Source organism: Homo sapiens, chromosome 13, assembly GCF_000001405.40.
Source record: "Homo sapiens chromosome 13, GRCh38.p14 Primary Assembly".
Classification (NCBI taxonomy): domain Eukaryota; kingdom Metazoa; phylum Chordata; class Mammalia; order Primates; family Hominidae; genus Homo; species Homo sapiens.
This window is the reverse complement of record NC_000013.11, coordinates 19325407-19337525: the sequence shown is the minus strand read 5'-3', so window position 1 is coordinate 19337525 and position 12119 is coordinate 19325407. Positions and strand designations below refer to the sequence as shown.

At 34.4% G+C, this 12119-nt stretch overlaps 1 pseudogene across 1 annotated transcript in view; it reads left to right on the top strand.

The window, feature by feature from the left end:
• Positions 1–12119, top strand: part of ANKRD26P3 (ankyrin repeat domain 26 pseudogene 3) — an 82174-nt pseudogene that overhangs the window by 7448 nt on the left and 62607 nt on the right. Inside the window, exons 3-6 of the transcript NR_027248.3 lie at positions 3932–3960; positions 4055–4127; positions 5643–5900; positions 7918–7988. The product of NR_027248.3 is annotated as an ankyrin repeat domain 26 pseudogene 3 (transcript). The remainder of the gene's footprint in view (positions 1–3931; positions 3961–4054; positions 4128–5642; positions 5901–7917; positions 7989–12119) is intronic.

The window sequence follows — 12119 nt, the reverse complement described above, 5'->3', positions numbered from 1 at the left end:
CAATGAAATGGCAGTAGTGCCGAGAAAAAAAAGGGAAAGTTAGAACAGGCATGTCGACTTCTACTTTGGTTTACATTAAGTTTCAGTAGACTATGGGAATATCCTAAGGGAATCCAGTGATTTGGCACTTGAGACCTTTCCAATGAGATTCTGTTTTTGACCTTGAAGGAATTTCTGTTCTTGACTCCTGACTGTGTGCTAGGCAGTGAGACACTGAATGTAGAAGATAAGGCTTACGATAGCATAGTAGGAGCAGAAAATCAAGTAAAGAACAAACACTTCTAAGTCACTATAAGTGCTTCCTATAAAGAAAACAGAGAATTTTAGGTTAGGGCACATTGAAGAAGTGCATAGTTAGGATGGGGCCCGGAATGGGAGTAGAATTCTGTTCTCAGAGAATATCTTTCTGAGTGTGACATTTAAGCTGCCAACTAGAGGACAAGAAGCAGCGAGCCATGTGAAAGTCTAGAAGGAGGATATTCTGGACAGAGAGAACAGTGGGTCCCATCTGTTTTTCATTTTGTTCTCTACATCCAAAAAGCGGGAAGTGTGGTAAGCATCCTCGTCCTCATGTGTATTATTAGAATGTGTAGAAAAGAGAATGTGTAAATAAGGGCCTGGGACAGTTTAGATGCTTCATAACAAATGTTCTTTTCCTTCCCTTTTTACTAACTCTTGCTTTACTTTCTTGAAGTTATTTCTTAATTGGGAAATAATTGCATACTATATCTAATATTTGCTTGCTTCTATTTAAACAAGGCATAAAAAAAAGGCTTCTTACTATTTTGCCATTTTTCCTGTCAATAAAAATTTTACCAAAAATATTTTGATTTTTCCAAGCCCTTCCTCACCTAAATAAAGCAGCTTTGACAATGTTCTGCTTACACTCAACGTAACATACCCTGAAGTTACCTATCATGCCGAGTATCTTATTTTAACACTAAGATCATTTATGTAGTTAGAAATATTTCAAATATGAATGTTGTAAGTATTATACCAAGTGTGTTGGTTTTTTTTAATGCCCTCTTATTGTTGGTAGTGAACACAAAGTAGAGTTAGGTATTTGAAGTTAGTTCCTCGCTGAAATATACACATGAGCTAATATTGTGTCTGTCACAGTGTTTCCTTTGGCTTTCTATGTTCAGTTTACAGAGTCAATAGCCATATGGAGATAAAAGTTTTGCTTGATCTGGAGAGCATATATGAGTTCCTCTGTTGAAATATTTTGGTTTTCAATACATGCTTTCCTTATTTCTAGGTCTCATTGCTTTTAAATCAGGAAATTCAGAACATGATTAGGAAATATTGAGAAATTCATTGTTTTTTCATTGAAACTCATTATTCATTATAATTTCAACAGACTACCTTTGAGAATGTTCCACAGAAATATGATAGTCGCTTAACTGGAGCTGATGGTCAAAGAGGAAAAAGTACAATAAAGGAACAAGAAGGTAGGAACTGTATTTTATTTAAAAATGTGACAGAATGTTTATTTAAAAACATGAGCTCTGTTACATTCTAGTAGCCAAGGAAAATAAGGTATTAAGTGCATAGTCAAAAAAAGAGAAGTGAAATAGTGATATGTTGTATATTTTGTAAGGCATTAATTAGCAACCGATTTAATTGAGAGTGCCACTAAAGGAGCTGAATCATTAGTTCCAATTCAAGATAGTCTAAGACCTGAGGAAAGTCAGAAAATAAGGAAGAAGAAAAGAGTAAATGCAGGAATGAAGAGTGAAAAAGGCAGAGAATACAGCGAGTAAATGAAGGAAAAAGAAGCAGATATATGCAATGATGGGTGATAGAGTAAGATAATTATTTGGGGAGAATATAAAGTGAGCTTCCAGTACCGAAACTTGTCAGAGAAGTCAAGCAAAATGTTGCCACTCTTGCCATTTTCGTTACTTTTGGGAATGCATTAAGGATGGTGGTACCTGACCACGCAGAGCTGTGTTTCATCTGCGATAGAAGAATGTAATGTATGGTCAGCCATGCATAAATTACATGTCTATAATTTAATGTGCTATAAAATCTTGTTTCTTCATGGGATAGTATCTTAGGGGCCAAAAGAAGAGCATTGGAAAGAAGAGGGTAGGATTAGTTATGGAGAGATCAAGGAAGCTATAGCCTGATAAAAAGTTCGTTAGTAACCTTAAGACTTGTAATGCAGCTTAGATTTGGAGGACGTGATAGGGTGTAGCTTGAGGCTGGATTCCAAAAGGGCAGGTTGAGGTTAACGAATGTGGGAGCACACTCAGTATAGACCAGAGCTTCCCAAATTTTAACAAATCAGCTGAGGACCTTGTTAGTAGTGCAGATTCTGATTCCACAAGTCTGCGATTCTGCATTTCTAATAAGATCTCAGGTGATGGCCGACCCTTCTTGTCCCAGGACCACACTCTGACTAGCAAGGGTATAGCTGTGCATTTAGAGGAATCTGGAAGAAGAGCCCTTGGATCACCACTCAAGACATAACAGGATCAAGGGAAAGCATGATTTTCCTTTTATTTCTGAGCGTGTTTCTAGCCACAGGGGAAGGAGAAAGAGATGAAGAAATAGAAATCATTGCTGGAAGATCCCACTGCTAAATGAAGAGAAGAGAAGTCATGGGAATAGTCCATCAAAAGAAGGCAGAAGGGTCAGAATCAGGACAACAGATCTAGAGATTACTTTTGCAAAGGAAGAGGGATTGTGAGTGGAGGAGGAGGGAGGAAAGAAAGAAGTTGGCTAGTTAATTTTGGAGTTGATAATAAGGAAACTTGAGAGCTCTCACTTCTGATGGCTGCAATATATTGGCACTCAAACGGAAGATTAGGTGATTGCTGTTCCAGGAATTACTGGAAGGAGGGAGTGCTAGAATGGGGGTAAACCACAGGAGCTAATTTCTTCTCTCTGTGACTATCAGACATCAAAGATGCATGTTTTGTTGATATGAGTTAATCAACTGAGGTGAAGTTAAAAGTAGGCGCTTTGGCTGCTTTTTCTTTAAAGCAGCCGATTTTTTTAATAGGATGCCTGTTTTGTAAAAGTTTATCATGGATGACATGATATGCCAACCCAAATTAAGTTTAGAAACAAAAAAATTACAAAGTTTATTCCTCAAATAGAAAAGGCATTATTTTCCATAAATATTACACTCATTTTGGTATATAAAAGTTCAGGAGTAGCTAATAATTGTGTAGCAATGCATTTTTTATTAATATTTCAATGTTGAAAGCTTCTTATACATTATTTTTAGAAATGTTTTATATACCTTCTTGCATGAGTGGATAAAAAAATTTAAGATGGCCAAACTAGAGGATATAAGAAATGTAGACCTATCAGTAAGCCCAAATAGGTATGGAAAAAAAATAAACATTTTTATGAACTATTTTGCTGTAAGTGTGGATCCAAAGTAATCACTTCAGAACACTTTCTCTGATGAGAAATGAATTAAACATTCAAATGAACTGTCATGACAACTGTGTGCTTTCTACATTCTAGGACCAATTGAAGGACATAGTAGGTACTTGTAGTAGAATGGTATAAATGATTCTGATGTGTCACATTAAAGACACACTATAGCGTTCTACCATCAGCTTGGACATTTATCTGCCCAGGGTCACAATTTGCTCTGCTGGTTAAAGATCACTTTTCTCCTCCTCAGCATGTACACATGGTTGTATGCATACTTTTCTATTTTAGTTACAGATATCTGAATCAGAATCTTGCCTTTGAAATGTTAACTGCATGTTTTATTCAACCTATCTTCTTAGTTTTCTTCAGGATATTTCTGTCATGTTGCTGTCCTGACAGAAGAAACGCACCCCTAAATCTAAACTCATTATTTTTAAAGTGAAGCACTAAGGTTCAGCTTGATACTAACTCTGAGTGTATGGTTAGCTTTATCATATTTATATATAATTGATTATATATCCCTTTTGCCTTCTAGATTCTCTTGAGCAATATCATCACTTGAAGGTAATAACTTTTCTATATTTATCTTTAATTATTAACCACATAGCATATGAAACATATATTATTTACTAATCATTTTGTCTCAAAACCCTTTCAGCCTAAGGTTGAAATCAAAGAGTGTGTTTCGAACCAGGCGGTCGGAATGAAAGATGTACAAGCATGCACATCAGGTAAAAATTTTTGCAATACAAATTTAACTCTGGAAAGGAGCACATTAAAATATTCTAAATGCTAACAGTCTTCATATTCCTATGTCTTTTTTCAAATTTGATGGATAGATTTGATATATATAATGCAGACATTTGCATTGGTATCTATGTTTGAAAAACATTATATTTAGAAGCATAAGATAGATTTTTAAAATGTAAGCTCTGACTTAGATGTATCTTCTTTTACGTATTACTACGCTGAAGTTCTCAGTTGGGAATACCTATACTCATTCGGGTTTCACAGAGGTGAATTATGAGACTACAATTTTTTTCCCATGTTTGGAATGCTTCTTGAAATTCTGATCTTTACCTAGAGGAAAGCTTTCCTCACTAACATGTCAATTTTGTACTAAGTTTAATTACTTCATCCTAGTGTTGTTAGACTGATGATCTGAAGCAAATCGGATGCTTTGATTATTTTGTGTGTGTGTGTTTGTGTGTGTGTGTGTGTGTGTGTGTGCAGGGAATATCTTGGATTACAAAAATGAGGAAAGTAATCATTTTTTTTCATGGCTATTTGGCAGACACACTCATTTCAAAGAATGATTCTGAAACTTTATACGCTTAGGGTTTTTTGTACAATTAATAATTATTGCATAGAAGTAACCAACACTCTGAATTAGGTGTTTGTCATTGTCATGAAGTTTTCATACGTTTTACTGTGTATGTGTATGGCCATAAATCATATGTAGCATTGGTGTTTCTGTCCTAAAGTTTCAATCATATAAATGATTGTACATTATATATATTATTCAGCAGCTTTCTTTTGCTTACTCAGCATTACATTTTTTAGATCAGTCGATATGTTTTGTTCACACCCATTGATTTGACCAAAGAGATCATCGCTATTTTCAGAAGGAGCTCTAGCTGAGTTTACATTTCCTATAGTATTTCATGCTATAACAGTACTACATTTAATTAAACTCTCTTCATGGTGAGAAAAAGATAAAAACATTAAAAAATGATGGCAGATTCCAAAGAGCTTTTGTTTAAGTGGATTGTATCTATTGATATTTACTATATCAGAAACTGAAGCTGAATAATTTAAAATATAAGCATGCACCGCCATGCATTCCAATAGTCATTATAACTCTGGCCCATTAAGCACCCATGATCTTATGACACATCATGTGTCTAATGGTTAAACATAAGTCTTGTTAGTAAAAGAAAGTTGATATTCTTGAAGAATCTTTATTATTAATAAACAAAGCTCTCATGGAAAACAAAATATATAATATCGCTGAGTGAATCAAAGTAAGTAACACTAAAAAATAAAAATGTCAAAGATGATTGTTAATAAAACCTATGCGAGTGAATGGCAAGTACGGGACATGTAGAATACAATAAGCCATGCAGGAGTGGTGTGTTTCTGGGGGAGTGGAGGACATGGGACTGCTTCTGTTTTAGAAGGAATTTCTCCACGTTAGTCAAAGTGTATTATGATTTACATTCTAATAATGAAAACTTTACTTTCAGCTTTTTCAGCTTTGGATTTTAATAGTTTGACCTTTAGTAATGAGCTTCATGAAAGATCTGAGAATTTGAAAGTTGGTGATCTATGTCCATTTGTATCTCCACCAATGACCAACACTGTGTTGGGATCCACAGACTTGGGGCAGAAGAACTTAATAGATCAAGAAAAGATGACCACTGTAGGTGCGCTTCTATTTTGGAATCACACTCTCCGTGACCTGTGTGAGTCACAGCTACCAGAAAACAAAGATAGCAAAGAAGGTAATAAAGAAGCATAGAGAATTCAGTCCCAGTGTAGCTGTACTTGGCTTCATAATACCATAGTTGTAACTTTTAAAGAATCATTTTGTGGCAAACTGTGTATTGTGTTCACACCCCCCTTATACAAGCTACAACCAAACAGAGGACCTATCAGCAGGGCATTTATGTTCTTCCTTTAACCAAAGCAACATAAAAATAAGAAAGAGAATGAGATGGACGAGTAATTTTGTTTAGGCTAGCATTTAACATAAACTTGAATGTGAGTCCAAGGATTACATGCAGAACTTTGGGACTGGGGGGGAGATGTTTGATTGCCTGCTCAAACACAATGTGGTTTCTTTGCTTTATTTCCATAGCTCTGAATTTGTATCAGTTGTTACTATATAAAATGTAGCCCAAAAAGCACCTTCCAAACCCCAAAATTAAGTTATTTTTAATAATTTCTGTGACTTTATGTAGTATAGAATTGACTTTCCCAGTATGAATGGATATCCTTGAGAATTTGCTAGATGGTGTCTTTTCGGCTGTGTCCACATAGTGTATCACCTTGTTTTAATGAGTAACAATTTACTAGGAATATTGGTTTGAAGGAAGGTGGTGTCATTTAAAAAATAACATGAAAATACATTTTAATTTTACTAGGACACATAATCTGTTGAATAACTGCATCTAATATGTGTTCTACTTTATGTCCCAGTTAAATTCAGTGTCTTTAATCAGGTATACGATCAGATCTATATAGTAATAAATCATAAAATATTTTTGCACCCAGTAGTTTCATTTCCTTTTTTACACGGTGAAACCCAGTTTCTGGAAAAAATAGAAAAATTAGCCGAACATGGCAGCACACGCCTGTGGTCCCAGATACTCAGAGGCTGAGGTGGGAGAATCTCTAGAGTCCGGGAGGCAGAGGTTGTAGTTAGCTGAGATTGCACCGCTGTGTTCCAGCCTGGGTGACAGAGCAAGATCCTGTCTCAAAAAAATGAAACAGAAGAAAAAATGATTTGAAAGATTGTCCCATACAGTTTAGGACAAAGGGGATAATAGACATGCATAGAAAGAATGTACATTTCAGGTGATAAAGATATACTAGAGAAATCAATGCAGTACTAAGGCAGCCCCAAGGAAAGAGACATCTGTTTATCTGAGGAAAGATAGCAAGAATCAAGGAATACTTAACACAGCAATGTGAGTGATGAAAAAGAAATGGTTAGAATAGTAGAGGAAAACATTTCAGATATCCAGAGCAGGATGTCCACTGGTAAAAGTATAAACGGTTACAGTAATTCTGGAAATCATTGATCATAGGCGTAGTGTGTTGTTAAGACTGGTACTACTGGGCCAGGCACAGTGGCTCATGCCTGTAAATCCAGCACTTTGGGATGCTGAGGGAGACGGATCACCTGAGGTCAGGAGTTCAAGATCAGCCTGGTTAACATGGTGAAACCCCATCTCTACTAAAAATACAAAAATCAGCTGGGCGTGGTGGTGCATGCCTGTAGTTCCAGCTACTTGGGAAGCTGAGGCAGGAGAATCGCTTGAACCTGGGAGGTGGAGGTTGCAGTGAGCCTAGATCATGCCACTGCACTCCAGCCTGGGCAAAAGGGCGAGACTCCATCTCAAAAAAAGAAAACAAATAAATAAAATGGTACTATTATGAAGTAGAGAACAGTATATACAGTGTTACCATAGATGTTCTTAGTGTATTTTACACTTTGTTTCATTTCCAATGGTTTTGTTTATTTATGTTGGGTAGATACATTGGTGAGAAAATCTTTGAGATGTTTTGTACGGCTTGCACTGGTGATATCTAGTGTAGTCGAGTGGTTTGTTGAAGTTTTGGATAACTGGAAGTATTTCTTAAAGAAATAAATATTTCACTAAACATTAGGCTTCATTTAAAACTCTCAATTTATAAAATACTATGTGTTATTTTCCATCTATTTTTATAATGACTTTAGCCTTTATCTAACTCTTCTAAGTAGTTCATTTTAACTAACTGTGGATTTGTCAGCAGAACAAGATTTAGAAGTGACGTCAGAGCAAGAGCCAGAAAGGCTTGAAGGAAGTGAAAATAACAAGCCACAGGTACGTAAAAATTTGAACTTCAGTACTGATTTTATATTGTTTTCTTTGCTCTAATGACGTGACATAGACCAAATGAAATTATTTTTCACACTAGCTGTTTGGAATCAATAGATCATAATTTAACATTTAGCTTTGAAAGCATTTTTAATGATATATAAATTTTAAAATATTCTTAGAATCTATAGTATCTCATAGCTATTGTTTAACTCTTGATATAGAGGCAAACAATTTTTAGAATTTTATGTGGTCTTCCGTTTTTATAACCTCCTTACATGATAAAGAATGTAACATTGAATGTTGCATTTTACTATTTAGCATGAGAAATGATAAACAATTGAACAGTAATGGCCGCTGAGCTAAATTCATGTGAAAGGAGTACTCATTCCCAGTAGTTCAAAATTTGGAGATTTATATTGCCAATCATTAGTGCCAACATTAAATATTTATTTTGGCTTTTGGTCTCTAGTTCACTTCGTTGTCTACATTCAGGGAGAAAATGGGCTTATAAAATCAACCCAATCGTGCCTTGTAGATTGGGACCTTTGGTGTTAAGATACAAACAGTAACTTTGTGACTTATTTCAATGCAGGAAATCAGTAAATATTACTAATTTTAAAATCCACTGTCATTAGTGGACCTTGTAATACATTAAAACTGTATTTAAGCACAGAGTGTATCTAGATACATAACACTATCTTATTATGATAGATCATTGGAATTAAAATTTAAGAATTTGCTTTTTCTGATTGGTGCTGATTCAAGCTCTGAATAATTTAAAGTTTACTCTTTTCCAGTTAATAATCTTTAGAAAAAGTGCTTAAATGCACTGTAGGGCTCAGTCTTTAAGGTGTCATATGGTAAAATCTTTTTAGATAAAGAAGACTTTGCAATGCTACAAATCATCCACTAATTCATTTTTGGTAGATTTAACACATCATAATTTTTATTTATGTATTTATTTTTAATTTTTTGTGGGTACATAGTAGATATATATGTTTATGGGGTACACAAGATGTTTTGGTTGAGACATGCAATGAGAAATAAGCACATCATGGATACGGGGTATCCAGTCCCTCAAGCATTTATCCTTTCAGTTGCAAACAATCACATTACACTCTTTAAGTTATTTTACAATGTAAAATTAAATTATTATTATTATTAAGTTATTACTGACTACAGCCATCCTATTGAAACACATCATGAATTAAGTTGAGTGCAAACAAACAATGACAGTTTGCTGGTTCATGTTTCACTCCTACTTTAGGGCGAGGTAAATTATTTTTTACTTCTTAATTATAATCCAGTGATTTAGGAGGAGCTAGACATAGAGTAATAATTTTAACAGTCGAATTTAAATTATTTTCTAATTTTAATTATTTTCCAGTTTTTCTTTGTTCTTTTTACTTAGGATTTCTTTGGCTGTTGTGGCTTTTTGTTGGTTCCATATGAATTTTAGTTTTTTCTAATTCTGTGAAAAATCATGTTGGTATTTTGATAGGAATTGGGTGGAATCTGCAGGTTGCTTTGGGCAATATGGTCGTTTTAATGCTATCAATTTTTTCAATCCATGAGCATGGGTTTTTTCATTTATTTGTGTCATCAACAGTTTCTCTCACCATATTTTGTAGTTTTCCTTGTATAGATCATTCACCTCCTTGGTTACATATATTCCTAGGTATTTTATTTTGTTTTATTTTTGTTGTTATTTGTAAATGGGATTGTCTTCTTGATTCAGTTCTCACGCTGATTTTGATAGGAATTGGGTGGAATCTGTAGGTTGCTGCAGTAGAGAAATTCTACTGATTTTTGTGTGTTGATCCAGAAACTTTACTAAATTCATTTATCAAATCTAAGGAGGTTTTTGTGGAGTCTTTAGGGTTTTCTAGGCATAAGAGCATACTATCAGTGAATAGAGAAAATTTGATCTCTTCTTTTTTAATTTGGATGCCTTTTATTTCTTTTCTCTTTGCCGATTGCTCTGGCTAGGACTTGCAGTAGCAGGAGAGGTGAAAATGGGCATCCTTGTCTTGTTCCTGTTTACAGAGGAATGCTTTCAACTTTTTCCCTCTTCCATATGATGTTGGCTGTGGGTTTATCATATATTGCCTTTATTATTTTGAGATATGTTCCTTCTATGCCTAGTTTGTTGAGTTTTTATCATGAAAGGATGGTGGATTTTATCAAATGCTTTTTCCACGTGTATTGAGATGATTAAAGGTTTTTGTCCTTAATTTTGTGTGTGATGAATCACATTGACTGATTTGCCTAACTTAAGCCCTCCTTGCATCCCTGGAATAAAACGCATTGGATCATAATGTTCTTACTATCTTTTTGATGTGCTGTTGGATTCAGGCTGCTAGCATTTTGTTGTGGATTTTTGCATATCTGTTTATCATGGATACCGGTCTGTAGTGCTCTTTTTATGTTGTGTCCTTGTCTGGTTTTGGTATCAAGTTAATATGGGCTTCATAGAATGAGTTAGTGTGAAGTCTGTCCTCGTCAATTTTATGGAAGAGTTTCAGGAGGATTGGTACCAGCTCTTTTTTGTATGTTTGGTAGATTTTGGCTGTTAATCCATCTGGTCCTGGGCTTTTATTTGTTCAGAGGTTTTTTAGTAGTAATTCAGTTTCAGAATTCATTATTGGTTTATTTGGGATTTCTATTTCCTCCTAGTTTAATCTTAGGAGGTTGTATGTTTCCAGGAATTTTTCCATTTCCTCTAGGTTTTTTACTATGGGAGCAAATCATTGTTTATAATAAATAGTCTCTGACGATCCTTTCTATTTCTGTGGTATCAGTTTTAGTGTTTTCTTTCTTATTTCTGATTTTGATTATTTGAATTTTCTCTCATTTTTTTGGTTAGTGTAGCTAGGGCTTTCTCAATTATGTTCATCTTTTCAAGGAGTCAGCTGTTGGTTTTTTGATCCTAGGTATTGTTGTTTTGGTTTCTATTTCATTTAGTTCTGCTCTGATCTTTGTCATTTCTTTTTTCTGCTTTGGATTTGGTTTGTGGTTAGTTTTCTAATTTTTTAAGGCCAATGTTAGGTTGTTAATTTATTATTCTTTGTATTATTTTAATGTAGGCATTTAATGTCATAAAATTCCAGTGGACTTAGTATGCTATATTTCCATTGCCATTTGTGTCAAAATTTTTTTTTTAATTTCCATCTTCACTTCTTTGCTGACCCAAAGATCATTCCAGTGCATGTTAATTTCTATATATTTCTATAATTTCTGATGCTTCTCTTGGTTAAGATTTCTAGTTTTATTCCACTGTGTTTTCAAAAGATACCTGATATGATTTTGATGTTTAAAAATTTATTGAGACTTATTCTGTGGCCTAACATATGGTCTATCTTGGAGAATGTTCCATGTGCTGATGAGTAGGAGGTATGGCTTTCAGTTACTGGGTAGAATGCTCTGTAAATACTGGTTAGATCAGTTTGGTCTGAAATCCAATTTAAGTTCAAATTTTCTTTCTTGATTTTCTGTCTCAATAATTTCTCTAGTGGTGTCAGTGGAGTATTGAAGTTCCCCACTCAGACTGTATTGCTGTCTATCTCTATATGTGGTTCTAATAATATTTGTTGTATAAATCTGAGTGCTCCAGTTTTAGGTTGCATATATATTTAGGATTGTTTTTATCCTGTTGCTAAATTAATCCATTTATTATAATATAATGACATTCTTTGTCTTTTTTACTTTTTTTAATTTAAAGTCTGTTTTATATGATAAAAGTGTAGCTATTCCTGCTCACCTTTGGTTTCTGTTGGCATGGAGTATATTTTTCCCTTCCACTACTTTTGGTCTACAAGTGTCCTTACAGTTAATGTGAGATTGTTGTAAGCAACATGAAGTTCGGTTATGTTTTTAAATCTATTCCACCAATCTATATCTTTTAAGTGGAGCATTAAATCAATTTAAATCCAAGGTTAATATTGATACGTGAGATTTTATTCCTGTTGTAATGTTATGTGTTCCCTGGTTGTTTTAAAATTTCTTTGTTTCTTGTTTCCTTCTGTCTGTGTTTGTGGTCTAATGGAGTTCTGTCATGTTGCCATTTGATTTCTTTCTCTCGCCCTTTGTATAACTGCTTTTAGAAATCCTGTTAATTTTATTCTATGTTATTTA